The sequence below is a fragment of the Homo sapiens genome, chromosome 6 (assembly GCF_000001405.40).
Source record: "Homo sapiens chromosome 6, GRCh38.p14 Primary Assembly".
NCBI classification, from domain to species: Eukaryota; Metazoa; Chordata; class Mammalia; order Primates; family Hominidae; genus Homo; species Homo sapiens.
The window spans coordinates 26,153,907-26,173,351 of NC_000006.12; the positions used below are offsets into that span (position 1 = coordinate 26,153,907).

At 43.9% G+C, this 19,445-nt stretch overlaps 2 protein-coding genes, 1 long non-coding RNA gene and 1 pseudogene across 5 annotated transcripts, besides 10 other annotated features; 3 read left to right on the forward strand and 1 right to left on the reverse strand.

Moving 5' to 3' along the window:
• Positions 2,151 to 2,902: an enhancer, noted in NCBI's record as "NANOG-H3K27ac-H3K4me1 hESC enhancer chr6:26156285-26157036 (GRCh37/hg19 assembly coordinates)". NCBI's record gives its function as "activates a minimal SCP1, AML or CMV promoter by ChIP-STARR-seq in primed H9 embryonic stem cells {active_cell/tissue: H9 hESC(primed)}" and the evidence as "EXISTENCE:reporter gene assay evidence [ECO:0000049][PMID:30033119]".
• Positions 2,151 to 2,926: a biological region, named in NCBI's record as "NANOG-H3K27ac-H3K4me1 hESC enhancer GRCh37_chr6:26156285-26157036".
• H1-4 (H1.4 linker histone, cluster member) lies at positions 2,423 to 3,209 on the forward strand. The gene has a single exon (NM_005321.3). It carries the CDS (start codon positions 2,485 to 2,487, stop codon positions 3,142 to 3,144), a length of 660 nt encoding a protein of 219 aa, NP_005312.1. The 5' UTR covers positions 2,423 to 2,484; the 3' UTR covers positions 3,145 to 3,209.
• Positions 2,427 to 2,586: an enhancer, noted in NCBI's record as "active region_24193". NCBI's record gives its function as "activates an Ori minimal core promoter by ATAC-STARR-seq in GM12878 lymphoblastoid cells {active_cell/tissue: GM12878}" and the evidence as "EXISTENCE:reporter gene assay evidence [ECO:0000049][PMID:35858748]".
• Positions 2,847 to 2,926: an enhancer, noted in NCBI's record as "active region_24194". NCBI's record gives its function as "activates an Ori minimal core promoter by ATAC-STARR-seq in GM12878 lymphoblastoid cells {active_cell/tissue: GM12878}" and the evidence as "EXISTENCE:reporter gene assay evidence [ECO:0000049][PMID:35858748]".
• Positions 3,217 to 3,266: a silencer, noted in NCBI's record as "silent region_17001". NCBI's record gives its function as "represses an Ori minimal core promoter by ATAC-STARR-seq in GM12878 lymphoblastoid cells {active_cell/tissue: GM12878}" and the evidence as "EXISTENCE:reporter gene assay evidence [ECO:0000049][PMID:35858748]".
• Positions 3,656 to 4,407: an enhancer, noted in NCBI's record as "NANOG-H3K27ac-H3K4me1 hESC enhancer chr6:26157790-26158541 (GRCh37/hg19 assembly coordinates)". NCBI's record gives its function as "activates a minimal SCP1, AML or CMV promoter by ChIP-STARR-seq in primed H9 embryonic stem cells {active_cell/tissue: H9 hESC(primed)}" and the evidence as "EXISTENCE:reporter gene assay evidence [ECO:0000049][PMID:30033119]".
• Positions 4,215 to 17,443, forward strand: H2BC5 (H2B clustered histone 5). 3 transcript variants are annotated; one of them, NM_138720.2, is made up of 2 exons: positions 4,215 to 4,653; positions 17,069 to 17,443. In NM_138720.2, exon 1 carries the CDS (start codon positions 4,264 to 4,266, stop codon positions 4,642 to 4,644), a length of 381 nt encoding a protein of 126 aa, NP_619790.1. In that variant the 5' UTR covers positions 4,215 to 4,263; the 3' UTR covers positions 4,645 to 4,653; positions 17,069 to 17,443. The 3 variants fall into 3 exon arrangements, with proteins under 3 accessions (NP_619790.1, XP_005249096.2, NP_066407.1); XM_005249039.5 differs by lacking the exon at positions 17,069 to 17,443 and adding an exon at positions 4,952 to 5,161; NM_021063.4 differs by lacking the exon at positions 17,069 to 17,443 and having other exon boundaries at positions 4,216 to 4,701.
• Positions 4,547 to 4,596: an enhancer, noted in NCBI's record as "active region_24195". NCBI's record gives its function as "activates an Ori minimal core promoter by ATAC-STARR-seq in GM12878 lymphoblastoid cells {active_cell/tissue: GM12878}" and the evidence as "EXISTENCE:reporter gene assay evidence [ECO:0000049][PMID:35858748]".
• Positions 5,595 to 5,889: a silencer, noted in NCBI's record as "tiled region #13869; K562 Repressive non-DNase unmatched - State 2:TssF". NCBI's record gives its function as "represses a minimal TATA promoter and a strong SV40 promoter by Sharpr-MPRA in K562 cells {active_cell/tissue: K562}" and the evidence as "EXISTENCE:reporter gene assay evidence [ECO:0000049][PMID:27701403]".
• On the reverse strand, positions 6,368 to 18,867 carry H2BC6-AS1 (H2BC6 antisense RNA 1). Its single transcript, NR_186648.1, has 3 exons — positions 18,129 to 18,867; positions 9,402 to 9,770; positions 6,368 to 7,299 (listed from the first exon to the last, which is right to left on the reverse strand). It is a non-coding gene; the product is annotated as a H2BC6 antisense RNA 1 (long non-coding RNA).
• Positions 6,665 to 7,416: an enhancer, noted in NCBI's record as "H3K27ac hESC enhancer chr6:26160799-26161550 (GRCh37/hg19 assembly coordinates)". NCBI's record gives its function as "activates a minimal SCP1, AML or CMV promoter by ChIP-STARR-seq in naive H9 embryonic stem cells {active_cell/tissue: H9 hESC(naive)}" and the evidence as "EXISTENCE:reporter gene assay evidence [ECO:0000049][PMID:30033119]".
• Positions 10,127 to 14,270, forward strand: LARP1P1 (LARP1 pseudogene 1; annotated as a pseudogene).
• Positions 17,941 to 18,833: an enhancer, noted in NCBI's record as "H3K27ac hESC enhancer chr6:26172075-26172967 (GRCh37/hg19 assembly coordinates)". NCBI's record gives its function as "activates a minimal SCP1, AML or CMV promoter by ChIP-STARR-seq in primed H9 embryonic stem cells {active_cell/tissue: H9 hESC(primed)}" and the evidence as "EXISTENCE:reporter gene assay evidence [ECO:0000049][PMID:30033119]".

The following is a 19,445-nucleotide window of genomic DNA, read 5'->3' on the forward strand; positions in this document are numbered from 1 at the left end:
TCTCCCAGCCCATGCATTTGGAGGCAGAGGCAGTGGTTGCAGTGAACCAAGATCGCGCCATTGCACTCCAGCCTGGGTGACACAGTGAGACTCTGTCTCAAAAAAAGAAAAGAAAAGTAAAGTAAAGAAAACACACCACACCTTAAGGAGGCAAGCAGTGGAAGTTGAAAGACCACAGAATTTGGAGAGTTTAACTCCTTCCTAGCCATGAGGAATACACTGGATAAAGTGAGGCATGTGAAAGCAAACTTCCATGTGTTGTGTAAGTTTCAGTCATTTACAGGAGTGGTTTTTGTTGTCATTAAATAGGTATAATATTACCATTCTGGAATCAAATGCCCATATAATCAGTTTCCCTAGTCTGTTTTGGAGATTTATCCATCTCCCTTTTTATTTCAATAAATACCAAAGGGCATATTTATTTTTGCACTGATGTGCAATAATTAGATTGAAAATACACATCAAGATATTAAAAACATTGATAATTTACATCACTTTTATAACAAATTCAACATTAAACAGTACTGTTTTGATACATTTCACTCGTGTTATATCAAAATTCTATATTCTCCTTATTTCAGTAGCAGAATTTGTGTCTGGAGATTTTGGGCAATGAAATTAAAATTTAAAATGATATCCAACGCCATATTACAATCAACCACGTCCACAGAACAGTATCATATCACCTTATAGCACTGGGCAAAATTTTATTTTGTTTCCATGATAAGTGGCTTGTAGTTCCACCCATACTGTTCCAGCCATATCGTTTTTCAGAAAAAATTCTTTTTTTTTTTTTTTTTGAGACGGAGTCTTGCTCTTTCGCCTAGGCCTGACTGCAGTGGCACTATCTAGGCTCACTGCAAGCTCCGCCTCCCGGGTTCACGCCATTCTCCTGCCTCAGTCTCCCGAGTAGCTGGGACTGCAGGCGCCCGCCACCGCACCCGGCTAATTTTTTGTACTTTTAGTAGATACAGGGTTTCACCGTGTTAGCCAGGATGGTCTTGATCTCCTGACCTCGTGATCCGCCCGTCTCGGCCTCCCAAAGTGCTGGGATTACAGGCGTGAGCCACCGCGCCCGGACCAGAAATAATTCTTTTGGTTGGGCTTTCATTGCCAGCTTACATACACTCTTCTTGATTGGGCAACTACCTAAAGAAATTCACTCAGACATTGTTCAAAGGATGTTTTCAGAGGGCAATGATTTATAATAGCTTAGATAGACTCTCAAAGCTCTACTTCTGAGATCGAAATTTGAACTTGTCGTTTAATCACTACATGTCACTTATTTTTCTTTCTATTGAGCTCTGGGAAGCATTGGAATACAATCTTCAGGGGGATTGAAACCATACGTGGTGAGTGGACTAGTCATTCCTCAACTATTCAGTAATAATAGGGGCTGGGTTTCACTAATAATGGGAGTAGATGTTTCAATCTACGTTTCTTATTTATTTTGCCTTATCATCAATGCTTGAATTTCAGCTCTAAGCTACTTTATTGCAATTTGGTTCTGAAGCATATGCCAAAAGCACTCAGCAAGGCTGCAGACAAATGCTTTAAAGTAAAGTGCACCTCCACTTCCAGTGACTTTATGAACATCACATTTGAAAATTAATCCTTTTTCATCTCTGTACCCTGAGTACATTTTGGACTTCCCTTCGTTCCCAAATACCCTGAATTCAAGGTATCTCAATCCATGGAGCAATTGTCCAGAGGAAGAGAGAAGCAACAGCCCCGCCCCCAACCCTTGGGAGCAGAAAGGGAAAGAATTATCCAAAGAATTGTTTAAAAACTCAGATGTAGCGGACAGATGTAAAACCATGGCTGTATAGATTGATGTCCCAGGGGTCCAAAACTTAATCTCAAATGGGCAATAATTTGTTTGGCATTAAACTAAACCAGTTTGATGAACTCAAATGCCCTCGGCTCAATAGGCAGGACTCTCCGAGGAGCCTGTGTTACTTCCCTCACTTAAGTGCAGATTTGTAATAAAAATCTTAATGCCAGTGGCATGCTTTTTGGATATATAAGAAGCTAACCACTTGGAGTATCATATTTGAGAGGTCAGAAAAGTCCACAGTTAAAGATCGGTTTATAATTTACGAAGAAAATAGAAAGTTTTGTTTCTCTGAGTTGAAATTTGCCAAGCACGGCGGGAAATATTGCAAGTTTTTGGCACAAGGCTTTGTGCTTCCCTTATAATTTGAGATCTGCGTGAAGCCTGAGGGTTCGGGGATCATTATCTGAGAAAAACCGGGCAGTTCGGTGTAGACAATTTTTATATTTTTGGCTTTTTTTGAGGTGTAACAAACACAACTCGGGATCCGAGAGGACACTCTGCGGCTGCCAGCGAGGCGGGCTGGACAGCGCACCAATCACGGCGCAGCTCCGCCCTATATAAACGGGCGGGCGCAGCGCCGCGGCTCGAGTCCCGGCCAGTGCCTCTGCTTCCGGCTCGAATTGCTCTCGCTCACGCTTGCCTTCAACATGTCCGAGACTGCGCCTGCCGCGCCCGCTGCTCCGGCCCCTGCCGAGAAGACTCCCGTGAAGAAGAAGGCCCGCAAGTCTGCAGGTGCGGCCAAGCGCAAAGCGTCTGGGCCCCCGGTGTCCGAGCTCATTACTAAAGCTGTTGCCGCCTCCAAGGAGCGCAGCGGCGTATCTTTGGCCGCTCTCAAGAAAGCGCTGGCAGCCGCTGGCTATGACGTGGAGAAGAACAACAGCCGCATCAAGCTGGGTCTCAAGAGCCTGGTGAGCAAGGGCACCCTGGTGCAGACCAAGGGCACCGGCGCGTCGGGTTCCTTCAAACTCAACAAGAAGGCGGCCTCTGGGGAAGCCAAGCCTAAGGCTAAAAAGGCAGGCGCGGCCAAGGCCAAGAAGCCAGCAGGAGCGGCGAAGAAGCCCAAGAAGGCGACGGGGGCGGCCACCCCCAAGAAGAGCGCCAAGAAGACCCCAAAGAAGGCGAAGAAGCCGGCTGCAGCTGCTGGAGCCAAAAAAGCGAAAAGCCCGAAAAAGGCGAAAGCAGCCAAGCCAAAAAAGGCGCCCAAGAGCCCAGCGAAGGCCAAAGCAGTTAAACCCAAGGCGGCTAAACCAAAGACCGCCAAGCCCAAGGCAGCCAAGCCAAAGAAGGCGGCAGCCAAGAAAAAGTAGAAAGTTCCTTTGGCCAACTGCTTAGAAGCCCAACACAACCCAAAGGCTCTTTTCAGAGCCACCCACCGCTCTCAGTAAAAGAGCTGTTGCACTATTAGGGGGCGTGGCTCGGGAAAACGCTGCTAAGCAGGGGCGGGTCTCCCGGGAACAAAGTCGGGGAGAGGAGTGGGATTTTGTGTGTCTCCGGAGCTATTTTTGACTAAGGCGTCGCGTCGCCCAAGCCGGAGTGCAGTGGCGTCATCTCGATTTTGCGTTCTCGAGTGTCGGAGTTGAACCCATTTGGGCCTCCCTTGTGCTTTGCACTTTTAGCAGGCCCTGGCCTCCAGATAGCATGGGAAAAAAAATGTTGGGATTTTCCCGGGTTTCTAAGCTGGGTTTTTCCGAGTTCCAAACACGGCACAGTGTATCAGTTTCTGTGCTGGTTACAAGCCTACTGGTTATCCCTATCGAGTATGGCAGGCAGTGAGGGACTTCAGAGGAGTACGTCTTAGGACAAGTGGCATAGTACTGACATTATTTCCGAAGGGCTACATTTCAAGTGCTTGGGGAGACTACTGCCACATAACTGAAAATTAGAAACCGACACTGCAGAAAAATACTTGGTCCTTAAATGTGGCATTTGGATGGATTAAGGACTTGCCGAAACGTAAAACTGACAGACTTGGGGGGGGGGGATGTCCCAATTAGCACGGCTTCTGTATGCAACGAGTCCCATACTTTGTTAAAGGAAGAAAGGAATGTGAGTTCTCCTAATCTGTTAAGTATCTTTCGGTGTAAGTTCTGACACCACAATGTTAAAAAAGTCGGATCTCAAAAACCAACTGCTCCAAGCGAAGTGCACAGCTGTCTTGCCTAAAGAGGCCTATTTATAGTAGCCTCGGGTAGTCTGGTCTGGGCTTTCTCATTGGGTACAAGTAAAGGAACGAAATAGCCAATGAAAAGGTAGACTTTTAAGTGTCGTTTACATTGGCATTTGTGACGACACTCTAAAATTAATCCAATCATAAACGAAATCTGATTAACCTCATTTGAATACCGCATCTATAAATGAACAGGGCCTCGGCGGGAGTGATTATTTTCTCAGGTGTTTGCAACAGTGTTCTAACTATTAACGCTACGATGCCTGAACCTACCAAGTCTGCTCCTGCCCCAAAGAAGGGCTCCAAGAAGGCGGTGACTAAGGCTCAGAAGAAGGACGGGAAGAAGCGCAAGCGCAGCCGCAAGGAGAGCTATTCAGTGTATGTGTACAAGGTGCTGAAGCAGGTCCATCCCGACACCGGCATCTCTTCCAAGGCAATGGGGATCATGAATTCCTTCGTCAACGACATCTTCGAGCGCATCGCAGGCGAGGCTTCCCGCCTGGCGCATTACAACAAGCGCTCGACCATCACCTCCAGGGAGATCCAGACGGCCGTGCGCCTGCTGCTTCCGGGGGAGCTGGCCAAGCACGCCGTGTCGGAGGGCACCAAGGCCGTCACCAAGTACACCAGTTCCAAGTAACTTTGCCAAGTAAGCATCTTTACACCTAATCCCAAAGGCTCTTTTAAGAGCCACGCATGTTTTCAATAAATGAGTTGTAATCATTTCATTCAAAAGGGGGGTTATTGGACTTAGCACCACAGTACCAATCTTTAATGTTACGTTAGTACTGCAGAGGAAATAACTTGGAAGTTACAGGGAATAACAATAGGTACTAGAAATTGAGTGCTATGGGTACGTATTAGATCGTTAGCTCATTTAGTATCACATAACACTAGCATAAACTGAAAGTATTGTAAATGTACAGCTCTTTGGTTTCCGTGTGCAGATTTCCAAGTTGATCGTGATGTTGATCCGGGACTCGGTGTGGTGACGGCCCGCCCTGAGCACGAAAGTGCACGCTCTTGACAACTTCCTTATGTTTGGAGCTTTCTCCACCACCACCCCCGCCCATTTTCTTGTAAAATTTTTACCATGCAGATATGTAATAACTGCAAGTAAAGGCTGAAGACAATGTGAGCTGAACACGGAACTATTACAAAGGTTTCTGATTTGTTTTGTAATTGGGCCAGTTTCTGTCTGAAGCTCTTAAGCGAGTGGGGCAGGGAAAGGCGGATCCTAGGCGCTGAGGTGCAGGAAAAAGAAGCAGCTTCTGAGACACCTTAAAATTCTTTTGCTAAACCGTCTTTTTCTGAAAGTCATTTAATTTATAGGTTTTTTTTTTTTTTTTTTTTTTTTTTTTTGGCAGCTTTCAGGTTAAAAGTCCTCCGGGTAACGGCAGAAACCAAATAGTCAATCATTAAGGTGCCTGACTGCACGTAGGCAATAGTTATCGCAGGACTGAAGCCCCCTTTGCAGTACAATTTATCCTTTCCTAGATGCCCCTGAGTACGGAGGACTGGAGGAGGTAGAAAGGGAAAGAAAACCTCCTTCTGGCAGGATGTAGCTTCTGCTGCACAAGGTAGGATGATGACAAAAGGTTTTCACTGCTGGGGAATGGATGATTGCGGGAGAAAAAGAATCTCGGAAAAGAGTCGGGAGGGAACTAGGAGGGAGTGGCCAGAAGGAAAGGAACAAATACTTGAGACGTGAAAAATGTGAGATGGATGAGGCTAGGTTTGGAGTCAAATGTTGGCTGAGAGGGAGAATTTAAGTGATGGATGGATGATCATTGTCTAAAAGAGGAATGAATTTAGAAGTTTGTCCTCATGCCCTCATAAACAAACACGAAATGATGGATTATGGGATACATTTTCCATAACATGGCAAGCGTGGTACTTGGACGGATAAATAAAAGCCTGAGTAATATTTTCTAAATTCTTAAAAGTAAGAAAGAGGGTCTAAGAAAGTAAACTCAGAGCCAGGGACTTGGCCCATGTTAAACCCCAAGCACTACAGCTGGCTTTTACTCAACCCGTGGAAACTGACCAGGGTATAGAGCCTGATATATCTTCTTAGGTGAAGGTGAGACACCAGACCTAAATCTGTCATCTCAAGAGTAGAAGGATGAACCACACATACAAACCCATCACAGATGAATGCAAATAAAAAAGTCAGCTCCGAAGTTGGGTTCTGAGCAGTGTAGATTCTACTGCTAAGGCTTGGACTACAAGCCATCGATGCTTACTTGTTCCTGGCATTCATACCATAGGGATTCAAACACCCAAGCTGAGAATTTAATTTAGGCATATCCCAGGCTGGTTTTGTGCCCCTGAGCACCCGGTAGAAACAAATACAAGTCATCTCTGGAAAAGAAGCTTCATTTTACACCTCAACAAATTGCCACAGCTAAAATATCCCCCCAAAAATGCACAAGGAGCTTCACAATCTAAATTAAACATCATGAAACTAGAAGTATGACTAATGAAAACAAAAGCAACAGACAATGGGAGCTGGGCGTGGTGGCTAATGCCTGTAATCCCAGCACTTCGGGAGGCTGAGGCTGGAGGATTGCTTGAGGCCAAAAGTTTGAGATCCTGTCTCTGAAAAAAAAAAAAAAAAAAAAAAGCAACAGACAATGGAAATGAAAAGGGAGAATTAACAAGATACAGACTTGAGGCCAGGCACGGTGGTTCATGCCTGTAATCCCAGCACTTTGGGAAGTTGAGGCAGGCGGATCACAAGGTCAGGAGTTCGAGACCAGTCTGGCCAACATAGTGAAACCCCGTCTCTACTAAAAGTACACAAAAAATTAGCCAGTGTGGTGGTGTGCGCCTTTAATCCCAGCTACTCAGGAGGATGAGGCAGGAGAATCGCGTGAACCCGGGAGGTGGAGTTTGCAGTGAGCCAAGATCGTGCCACTGCACTCCACCCTGGGCCACAGAATGAGACTCTGTCTCAAAAAAAAAAAAAAACAGACTCGAATTGACTAGTGTCTTTTTGAAAAAAGAAAAAGAGGCCAGGCACAGTGGCTCACGCCTGTAATCCCAGCACTTTGGGAGGCTGAGGCAGGCGGATCACCTGAGCTCAGGAGTTCGAGACCAGCCTGGCCAATATGGTGAAACCCCATCTCTACTAAAAATACAAAAATCATCCAGGCATGGTGGCATGCACCTGTAATCTCAACTACTCAGGAGGCTGAGGCAGGAGAATCGCTTCAACCCAGGAGGCAGAGGTTGCATTGAGCCAAGATCACGCAATTGTCCTCCAGTCTGGGCAACAAGAGTGAAACTCCATCTGAAGGAAAAAAAAAGAAACAAAAAGTCTTATAAATATATTGAGGGACTAAGGAAATACCAAAAGTGACCACATAGATTTGAAAAAAGAACCTAATAGAAATTCTAGAAAATAAACATGTAATTATAAGACAAATTGAAATGAAAAGCTTACTGCATGTGTTTAACAGCAGCCAATTGGACCTACCGGTAGAAATTTAATAAACTATGTAATCAGATCTTAAGGAATTATCTGAAATGCAGAGATAAAAATGCAAAAGTGAGTTTAAGAAACCTGGAATTAGGGCTGGGCAAGGTGACTCATGCTTGTAATCCCAGCACTTTCAGAGGCCAAGGCAGGAGGATTGCTTGAGCCCAGGAGTTGGAGACCAGCCTGAATAATATGGCAAACCCCCGACTCTACTGAAAATACAAAAAATTAGCCAGGCATGGTGGTGCGTGCTTGTGGTCCCAGCTACTCAGGAGGCTGAGGTGAGAGAATCACTTGAGCTAGGGAAATCAAGGCTGCAGAGAGCCATGATCACACCACTGCACTCCAGCCTGGGCAATGAGAGTGAGACCTTGTCTCAAATAATAAATAAATAAATGAAAAGAGACCTAGAATTAGTAGTAAAATATGATCTGACGTTGACCTAATCACAGTACCAGAAGAAACAATCAGGGAGAATGATGCAAATGTGAGATTTAAAAGATCATGGCCAATAATTTTCTAGAATGGATGGATTACTAATAATTAAAAATAATATAAGAAAATAAAAATTGAAACCTAATGTATTGCTCATCAAAGCAAGCCTAGGTTAACAAAGTAAATATTTAAACAGAAAAATGATACAAAAAAAGGGAGTCACTATGTGTGCTGTGAATTAATTAAGCTCTCCAAATTTTTACAGATGTAATACTGATTTTCAAAAGATTGTGACTTCTGTTACATATTGACATATGACCTCACACTAAAGCACTGTTTGAAATTCTGCATGTAGGAGGATAATTGGATAATTGGTTATTTACATGAATTTTGTGTCTAGCTAACCTTATCAAATTCTATTAATCCTAATCAATAGTCGACTGACTTGATTTTAATTGCATATAGTACTATTAGCAAATAAAAATGTTCGATATTCTCTCCCATAACTATTTATTGTTTGCTTTAATCATCTTACTGTGCTAGCTACCATCACAAACAATATGTCACATTAGACATGCTACCAGGTATTGTCTTTTTCCTCCTGTTCATAGAAATGACTTCGGTGGTTGATGATTTATAATTGCTTTTGTGTGTATGTGCATGGATGTGTATATGTAGTCTTCATTGTGTTAATGTAGTTTTTGGTTTTTGTTTGTTGTTGTTGTTGTTTTGAGACAGAGTTTTATCTGTTGCCCAGGCTGGAGCGCAGTGGCCGGATCTCTGCTCACTGCAGCCTCCACTTCCCAGCCTCCCGCATTCATCTCAGCCACCTGAATACCTGAGATTACAGGCGCACACCACCGCACTCGGCTAATTTTTTTGTATTTTTAGTAGAGACAAGGTTTTGTTATGCTGGCCAGGTTAGTCTCAAACTCCTGACCTCAAGTGATCTGCCCACCATGGGGTCCCAAAGTGCTGGGATTACAGGTGTGAGCCACCGTGCCGAGCCCGGTAGTTTCCTTCTAATCTTCTTTTAAGATTTTTTATTAGGTATGATTTATGAATTTTATTCGATCACTTTGACTTCTGAAGAAATCATATGCTTTTTCTTTTTTAACCTGTTGCCATGAAGTATAGATAGATTTCTTTGTGTTGATTCATGCTTTTATTCCTAGTCCAAATCTTATTTGGTCATGGTATACTATTATTTTAAATAATACCTGGGTAAATTTTGTTAATATTTTTCATGATTTTTTTCCATTTCTATTTGCATAAAATCATTCTATGATTTTTTTTTTCTTTTAGATTTAGTCTCGCTCTGTCACCCAGGCTGGAGTGCAGTGGCACAATCTCGGCTCACTGAAACCTCCACCTCCTGGGTTCAAACGATTCTCCTACCTCAGCCTCCTGTGTAGCTGGGATTACAGGCATGAGGCACCGCACCTGGCCCATTCTATTATGTTCTATTTTGGGCTTACCTTTATCAAGTTTCATTATAAAAATTATGGTAGCTCTATAAGCTTAACTGTGGGGCTCCCCATGTCTATTATGTTATCTATTGCCGTGTAACAAATTATCCCAAAACTAATTTCTGTGAGTCGGGAATCCAGAAGTGATTTAGCTAGGTGGTTATGGCTCCGGGTCTTCCTTGAGGTTGAAGTCAAGCTGTAAACATAGGCTGCAATCATCCGAATCCTTGACTGTAGCTGGAGGATTCCCTTCCAAGGTGGCACACTCGCATATCTGGCAAGTTCAAGCCGACTTTTGGGTGGAGGCCTCAGTTCCTTGCCCGTTAGACCTCTCTAGAGGGGTAACTGATTATCTTCAAAACCAAACAACTGTTTTCTCTTAGCAGGAGAAAAAAGAAAGAGAAAGGGGAAGGAATAAGCCGCAATGCCTTTTGTGAACAAGATTCGAAACTTACACACTTCTGCCACACTTTTTAAACGTTATTTATTTATTTCTTAGAGACAGAGTCTTGCTCCGTCACCCAGGCTGGAATGCAGGGACCTGATCTTAGCTTACTGCACCTTGGAACTCCTGAGCTCAAGCAATCCTGCCTCAGACTCCCAAGTAGCTGAGACTACAGGTGTGAGCCATTTCCTCCGGCACATGTTATTCAATATAAACAAGTCACTGAAATCTGGCACATACCCAGAAGTAGAATTAAGCTACACCCTTTCAGATAAGAATAGTAAAAGAACTTATTGAAATATTCCAAAGCCAAAAATGTGGACATTGACCCCAACTGCAAAAATACCTCAGCAAATTCCAAAGTCTTGAAGACTTCTGAGTAGATCCCCCCGTGGGTGAGGAGGCCAACCACAAGCAACACTCAGTGGTAGCAGGAGGTGGCAGGGGTGAGGGCAGGAAGCAGTGCCCCTCTCAGTCTCCCAGCAGACCTGCCACCATGATCAGCCAGCCCTCTATACCACCCACTGGCCAGCCCATCCTGGAAGATGCCAAGTGGACAAGCCAGCACTCAGACACACAGATTTGGGAAAGTGAAAAACCATTTAGCCCTGGGGCTTGAGGCAGGGAAAGGGATGGGATGGGCAAGAAGTGCATGGCCATGCCCAGTCCCAGGACAGGGAACAAAAAAGGACAAGCCTGGAGTTATTAGGATGGGCCTTTGTACTGAGTAGCAATGTGTACACCATTTGGGCTATCAGAGTTCCCCTGGACAGGAGCCTCAACATCCCCTTCCCTCTCCTCTATGATTCTTTACATCCTAACTTCTTCTGAGAGGGGAGAGCAAGGGAGATTTTATATATATATATATATAATTTTAAATTATTGATAGTTCATCTGGATTACCAAAATCTGCAGCCCTACCATAGCTAGTAGGCTGCAACCCTGGTCCCCACACCTAACATCTTCCTGCTCCCCTTCCAGCCAACTATGCAGCCCACAAGAAGGCTCTGCAGGCCCCATTGCCCAGCACCATCCCATGGAAGGCTCTGGTGGTACCCCTGAGCCCCAGGAGAACCGGCACCTTGATCTTGTAGGGTTTATCATCACCATGTTCTCTCTCTGCTGTCCCTACCATGCCCTTCTGCCATCTTCTGGGAGAAGGAAACCAAAGGATCTAAAACTGGGGCTTGGGGGAAGATTCTAGCCTCTCCTCACTCCCCTCTCCCCACACTCTTTACTCCCCAGCCCAGAGAGATGCTGCTCATATCAGGAAAGACTATATTGAAAGATGATTTATGTTTCTCTGACCTTTCCATCCCTGGGAAAATGGGAAAAAAAATCAACAATTAAAAAACAAGAAATCAGAAATCCCCCAATGAATCCACAGAAAATGATGTCTATCCTCTCCCCTTGGATTTTTGTTTTTGGAAATATTTTTAAGTTGCCTTATTGTGGAGTGGGAATCCGAAATACCCAAATGTCTGTTTTCCACGATGGAGAGCCAACCCAAAGAGCTCCCACCTTCTCTGGATGTGCCTGGTCTTGGACTCCCTAGAATCTTTCTCTGGGCTGCTGCATGTACACAGCCTCTGTCCTGGAGGCAAGAGTTTGTGGTGGCTTGGATCAGAACCATGCCCAAGATATCCTTGCTATTGCATCGTTTGAAGCTGACATCCTGTGTCTGTACACAGCTGCTACCGTTGTGTCCCTGCTCTGCTTGCTATTGCCTCATGTCAGGCCCCGTCCTGCCGTGACGTCCTGCATCCTACCCATGAAACCCCAAGGCCAAGTTTGTTTCAAACTTTTGGAGAACAAACTTGGCCTGCATCTGGAACATACTTGTTCTCAGCTGGAACATGTCCCCTACCCCAGAGAGAAAAGGTGAACACCCACAGCTGAGGCTTGGAAATGTTTCCTGTGTTGACCTGAAAGATCTCTGAGACGTCAAGGAGGCTCTGTCTCTCTTAAAAAGTGGAGAAAGTTGCCATTCTCCTCCTAGGGCCTGGTCTCATCCCCCCTCTGTAAGCCATCTATCTCTGCCCACCCTCCAATTGACCCCACCTGGGAATGAGGGATGAAAAGGAGGTGGGGGCCAGGAGGGAACCCTGCCAGCTGGTGAAGCCCTGTGGCAGGAAAATAGATGTGGACATAGAGTATACCTGACTTCTCTTCTTCAGCCACTGACTGGGTTGGGCTGTGAATGACAATGGAATGGCTGAAGTCTGCTGTCATCAGAAGCTAGGGAGGGTGATGAAGGACTGACCCACACAGACTGGGATGTGTCTTGGATACAGGGATAACTCCTTGTTCACTCTCAGTGGGATCTGGGCAACACAGAGGAGTTTGGTGGTCCTGTTGCTCACTTACTCAGTGTCTTTGACCCTCCTTTTCAACTGGTTCCTCTGTTGAGCCCAAAGGCTGGAAGTAGGAGACAGTACCACAGGCTGACAAAGTCTTGCCTGTTACCTTGGCATCTCATTGCTTTTAGCCTGGGCCCTTCCTTGCCTTTGACCTCCCAGTGGTTAGTATGTGGGAAGCCCATTTCAGTTCCTATGACCCATGTCTCAAACCATGGTCTCTGCTATGACAGTGGAATCTGAGGCCTTTCCCTGCTCAGTCTGGTGCCTGCTCTGCATCATACCAGATACTGGCCTCCTGGACCCCCTCCTCCTTCCCTTTATTCCTTCTTTCCTTCAGGTCACGCAGCCATGTACTGTATCCAGCACCACAGAAACTTCATTGTTTTTCCTATGCTGCTTCTGGGGGCACAAAGAAGCCTTGGGATGTGGGGGAAGGCTGTTCTTATCTGGGGTTTACTCCCAGGCCAGGGGGGCTGCCATCTTCTTCACACACATTCCTCAAAGAGGAAGCCCCTTTGGGGCAGGGAGGTAAGGACTTCATCTCAACATAGATTGGTGGTCGGCACGAGCAGAGGGGGATACTTTTGGCTTTTTTTTTTTTTTTTTTTTTTTTTGACACGGAGTCTTGTTCTGTCACCCAGGCTAAAGTGCAATGGTTTGATCTTGGCTCACTGCAACCTCCGCCTCCTGGGTTCAAGCCATTCTTCTGTCTTAGCCTCCCTGAGTAGCTGGGACTACAGGCATGCACCACCATGTCCAACTAATTTTTATACTTTTAGTAGAGATGGGGTTTCACCATGTTGACGAGGCTGGTCTCGAACTCCTGACCTCAGGTGATCTGCCCGCCTAGCCCTCCCAAAGTGCTGGGATTACAGGCATGAGCCACCGTGCCCGGCCTCTTTTTTTCTTTTCTTCACATTCTTTTCTTTCTTTTTTTTGTTTTCTCTTTTTTTTTTTTTTTTTTTTTTGTAAAATGATAGGAGTTAATGTTGCAAAGAGTAGTTTACATATTCAATTTCTGAAGACACTTGAATTTAGGACCGATGTATCTGTGACAAGCATGCTAGAAGTGGCAGGGGCCATCAGGGCTAGCTACTTCATACCCACTATCCTCCCCTGGGGATCCAAGACCTGAGACACAAAGCAACAGCCTGCCGAGATCTCTCTTTTCATCATATCTCTTTCAAGGTTTGTCCATGCCAACACAACCTTTGGGCATCAAACATCAGAAGGTCTGTGTGTCTCAGCCCTGTTAAGGGGCAGGTTTCTCTTTCACCTGCTCTTGCACCTGGGAACAAATGCACTACCAGTAGAGAAGGGCCATCAGCCCTCCCCCAGCCTAGACCGCTGGGGCTCAGATAGAGGTGCTAAGCCCCTAGGTCAAAGTTGTTAAATATTTTTGTGTTGTTCTATCAGTCCCTTTCCTGGTGATTGATTTTACAAAAGTAAGTAAGCTGCTTAGAAGGCCCTGGAAGTGAGGAGAAGAGCCAAGGAAGATGACTACGGAGGGTGAGGGTTGTTTTTTTCAAAAAAGGCTAGGTAGAGTGATCTGAATTATCTGGTACCCTCCTGAATGGAATCCTCCCATGTTGAAGGGTCCTTGGATTTTCCCCAGCCCCCACCCTCTCCCACTTCAGGCACGTTGATAGTAGAAAAGATAAGAACTCAGAGCTATTTCTCATTGGAGACAAAAACTTGTCATCTGGCTTTGTAGAGAAGGTTGCACCTTACGCTCATAATAGATTATCTTTACTATGGGCTAGGGTATCATATTTATTTATTTATTTATTTTTATTTTTTTATTATTATACTTTAAGTTTTAGGGTACATGTGCACAACGTGCAGGTTTGTTACATATGTGTACAGGGTATCATATTTAAAAGGACAAAAAAAAAGCAACGTCAAATACTTGAATGAGCTTGTATTATAACATTAATATTATTGAAGGTATCTGCTTTCCAGGCCAAATTGATTCATTTATTATTATAGTCCTGCTTTAGTCCTTTGTACTTTGTGGTAATTATGCTTTCCTTTTCAATACCAAAAAAAAAAGTGTATAAAAATAAAAACTTGGGCCAGGCCCAGTGGCTCAAGCCTGTAATACCAGCACTTTGGGAGGCCAAGGCGGGCAGATCACCTGAGGTCGGGAGTTCAAGACCAGCCTGGCCAACATGGAGAAACCCCGTCTCTACTAAAAATACAAAATTAGCCAGGCATGGTGGCACATGCTCGTAATCCTAGCTAGTTGGGAGGCTGAAGTAGGAGAATCGCTTGAACCCGGGAGGCAGAGGTTGTGGTGAGCTGAGATCACGCCATTGCATTCCAGCCTGGGCAACAAGACCAAAACTCCATTTTTTAAAAAAAAAAAATAAATAAATTAGTAAAAATAAAAATTTGATAAGGCAAAAAAATGTAAAAAATTTATGAACATAATTTAAAACCACTTTACCTTTTTTATATTTGAAATGCTTGGATGTAAAAAGCATTTGTGCTTTAAAGACTACATAGAAATCAAATGTACAATCACCTGGCTCTGATACCTTTATAAATGGTAGAACCTTTAAGAATTTCAACAATTCAGACTAAAATTGACCACTACCCACAGAGACAAAGCCCATTAAAATCCCCTCATAATATCCTGATGGACTTTTCCCAGATATTGTAAAGGACAAAGTGGTGCCACTACAGTTTATATAAAACATTATCCCAGCACATAGCAGCTACTTTTTAAAAAATATGCATTGAATGTATTAATTCATTTGAGAAATCTTAAACTGCAGTCTGTAAAGCAATTCTCTAGTGCATGATTGTTGTTAGAATGTCCGAGAAACAGATTGGGCCTTTTTAAAGAAAACAAACTGAAGCAGAAAAATTAATACAATAAAAATTTTAAATCTTAGAAAATATTGCAGAGTATGAAAAAATTTTTAAAAATGGAAAAAACAAATTAATGAAATTTAAATTGGACAAGAAGTTAAAGCTAAGTTAATAATTTAATATATAAAACTTAAGATTAATGATTAGGTAATAGTAAAAAAATGTTCCAAGTGTAAGATTAACAGATTAACACTCAGCAGAGAGAGGTATAAAGAAAAGAAATCAAATAGAAGAAATTAGTCATGAAGGATTTGTAAGGAAATTCATGAAGTACGCAAAACTCCCTAGGCACTGGCTTGGGCGCTGCATATACACAGAGAGATATGGTGGTCCTTGACCTCCTGGAGCCCTCAGTTAAGAAGACTTACAGCTAATGGTTTTCATTTACCTTTGTCTTTCACTAAAGCCTAAAAAAGTGTTTCTCATACTCTGGAAATCTTCAGCAAAGTCAAATGAACGTGGGCTCATACAGGAACTACCAAATTAATTGCATCAAGGCAAACATATGTATTCTAATTTTTGAGTAATAAAATATTGTTTTAAAATTTCAAAATATTCTTTATAAATACAAAACAATATTTTATAAATATTATAGCCAAGTTACAATTACTTTCTAGGAAATTGGGGAGAGCATGAGAAAAAAGGTGAGAGAAATTGAGAAGTACTCAGAAAAGGAATGGAAGAAGCAAACTCCTACTAAAAAAGGGAGGGGCCAGGTGCAGTGGCTCACAGCAATTTGGAAGGCTGAGGCAGGCAGATCATGAGGTCAGGAGTTCCAGACCAGCCTGGCCAATATGGTGAAACCCCGTCTCTACTAAAAATACAAAAATTAGCCAGGCATGGTGGCATGCACCTGTAGTCCTTGAGCCAAGAGGGCGTCACTGCACTCCAGCCTGGGTGGCAGGGCGAGACTCCATCTCAAAAAAAAGAAAAAAAAGAAAAAGAAAAAGGGGGGTGAGGGAAAGAGCTTGGAGAACTAAAAGAAACCCACAGCAGAATGTGGTAGAAAGATAGAGAAAAAACAAAAAGGGGACATGAGTAGATAGACCTTGTCATATACTTGGTGTCTCAGTTGTGTGTAATACCTGTCAAATAATAACTGAGATATTTCTCACATTTCTTGGGTTTTGGATTAAGTGGATTGATGAAAATGTCACCACATCTGAGAGGTTTTCTCTGACCATCAAATGTAAAATGGCACCCTTCTATCCTCATTCTTAACTTGCTGTATGCATTCCTCATTATTCTTAGCACTATCTTACATTTGTTTATTGTTTGCCTCCCCTTCCAATCCTGAAAACTGTAAGGTCCATAAAAACAGGGAGTTCACCTGTTTTGCTGCTTGTTTCCTAATGCCTAAGGCTGTTCCAGGCACATGGCAGACTCTCAAAACGTATTTGCAGCATGACATAATTTCTGACATAATTAAAGTGCACAAATATCTATAACTACAGGAATAGAGGCCACTACTGAGTTGTCACAGTGGTTCAACTGAATGAGTGACTCGGATTTTCTGGGTTTCACTTTCCTCATCTATACAAGGAGGATAATAATAGTAGATTACTTCTTAAAGTTATTTTAAGATAGTTCATGTAAAGCTCTTAAAACAGTGATGGACTTTTAGTAAGCACTTAGCAATATTTAACAGTTATTATATTTTCCTTTTCACTGAGTTAAAATAAAAATCAGAGTGTTCAAATCTTTTCAGGTCAAAAATGAAAGGGAGAGAATATGAGCTTTTGAACTATTTGAATCCCACCCAAGAAGGGTAATTGGAGAATTTGAAACAAAGATCACATTATTCAGTGATATTTCTTGACTAAGCATGACTTATTATGTGTTAATGCTACTAAAGTGTAGCTAGAACTGAAGTAGAGATTCCTAATAGTTCATTATAGAAGCACATGTAGAAAGAATCCTCTTTGTATAGAAAATATTAATGGTGATGGCAAAATGGCACCTAATAACTAAACCCTTCTTATTTCTTCAATCAGGGGAGAGACATGAAGACAGAGGAGAAATGAATGCATAAAATAACTGATAATATGAATCTATACATAGAACTTAGGAAGTCTCATCTGCCTGAAAATGACTGTGTGGATCCCACCCAAATCCAACTCATCCTGGTTTGCTGCACACTGGTTCATCAAAAGAAGGTTACCGAGGGGAAGGAACTAAAGGTGTTTGCACTTCATGTTACTTTTTGAGTTTATAAACATAAAAACAGAATTTACTTCTGTTACAGACCTAGTTACTGGGAATTCATTACTTGCCATGGACTACCTTTGCTAAGAAAAGTCTGAATGAGAAGATGGCAGGACGTCTGAAAAAAAAAGTTATAATTAATAAAATCTGCGGAGAATTGTAAATTCTGCCTTCATTGTTGATCCAAACCTTTCTTCTAAGACCTCCCCTTTCTAGACATCTATCTACCTATTTTCACTTTACTTTCCAGCATCAAGGAGGTCTGAGTGGATAAGGCCTAAGCACTGATGTGGCTTTGGTAATGAACCTGAAGTTAAAAACTGGTTAGCTTATGCTAAGCTGCCATTTGAAAGGTCTCCTCCAGCATCTGAATTAAGGGAAACAATGTTTTGAAGCAGTCACAAAACTTTTCTGATGCATTAGATCTGAGGTAGGACCTGATAATTTGTACTTCTAAATTATGCAGGTGATGCTGATGCTGCTGGTCCGGAGACCACTTTGGAGAGTTTTACTTTAAAGGAAATGAAACTGCCCTAAAATGCTAATACTAAATAGCCACACAAAGCCGGAAAAAAGCAAAGAATTTCAAACCGAAGATGAGAGGTCCTGAAAAATAACAGCGGTCATCCTACTCCCGGTGCGGCTATGCGGCCATGAAAAGGAGTCTTGGGGCCGGTCGTGCCCCTCCACGCAGGCTCCCTCATAGGGTCATCCCATCAACCCTCGCCAAAAACGCCGGCCCCCTCATAGGGCCGTCCGGCCACGCCCCTCCGTGCCCTAACCACAGAGCCACACGTTACGCCGCCGCCCCGTTACGCCCATCCGGCTCCCGCATAGGGCGTCACGTACGTTTAACGTCGGCCCGGCGCGCGCGTCCGGGAGGTTGCCCGTAGGCCGCTAACTGGTGGTTCCCAGTCCCCGCCGACTCGGCCTCTTTCTTCTGCGGCCACCAGATCGCGGGATATCGGAGACTTCGAACAATCCGCTGGAGTCCTTTACAGTTTAAAAACAGAGGACCGGCCGGGCGCGGTGGCTCACGCCTGTAATCCCAGCACTTTGGGAGGCCGAGGCGGGCGGATCACGAGTTCAGGAGATAGAGACCATCCTGGCTAACACCGTGAGACCCCGTCCCTATCAAAAGTACAAAAAAATTAGCCGGGTGTGGTGGCACGCGCCTGTAGTCCCAGCTACTCAGGAGGCTGAGGCAGAAGAATCGCTAGAACCAGGGAGGCGGAGGTTGCAGTGACCGAGATCGCGCCGCTGCACTCCAGCCTAGGCGACAGAGCGAGACTGCGTCTCAAAACAAAAAAAACGGAGGATCGAAAATTTTGAAGACTGAGAGCAAGGCAACAATCTTCCCTTGACCTTTTTGCTCCTCTCACAAGGGTTTTTCAGACGGCTGAAACCAACGAAAAGAGTGAGGAAGCAGGCAGAAAATTTCAGCTTTAGTCTCTCAGCATCCTCCTGCTTTCTTCTCGGGGAGCTGGCACTTCCCCCTTCTCTAGTAGCTGTAAATACGCCTCCCAACTCCAAGGAGACCTTTCTTGCATCTCCCTTACTGTTCTCACGCCTGTAGGGCTCTTCGTGTGAGGATTCAGTGTATGTATGTATGTATATGAATGTGTGCGAATAATTATTTCCTAATTGAGTTTTTTTTTAAAAAAATCATCTTCCGGTACACGCAGTGCCGTACTCCATTAAACAGCAGGCACGGTGTCTAGGGTCCGCAGTTCTTTTGGAGGCTCATGAAAATATTTTAATTTCTTCTAAAGTCAGAAGGAAAAAAATGAACATTTAAGTCGAAGAAGATGTTACATATTAATCTTCATATGACTTTAATTTTTTTTTTTTTTTTTTTGAAACGGAGTCTCGCTCTGTCCCCCAGGCTGGAGTACAGTGGCGCAGTCTCGGCTCACTGCAAGCTCTGCCTCCCGGGTTCACGCCATTCTCCTGCCTCAGCTTCCCGAGTAGCTGGGACTACAGTCACCACGCCCGACTAAGTTTTTTTGTATTTTTTAGTAGAGACGGGGTTTCACCGTGTTAGCCAGGATGGTCTCGATCTCCTGACCTCGTGATCCGCCCGCCTCGGCCTCCCAAAGTGCTGGGATTACAGGCGTGAGCCACAACGCCTGGCCTATGCCCACTAATTCCAATTCTTATTTGATC

Coding starts and splice junctions, on each gene's coding strand:
- H2BC5 (NM_138720.2), top strand. CDS start 4,264: ATGCCTGAACCTACCAAGTCTGCTCCTGCCCCAAAGAAGGGCTCCAAG.
- H1-4 (NM_005321.3), top strand. CDS start 2,485: ATGTCCGAGACTGCGCCTGCCGCGCCCGCTGCTCCGGCCCCTGCCGAG.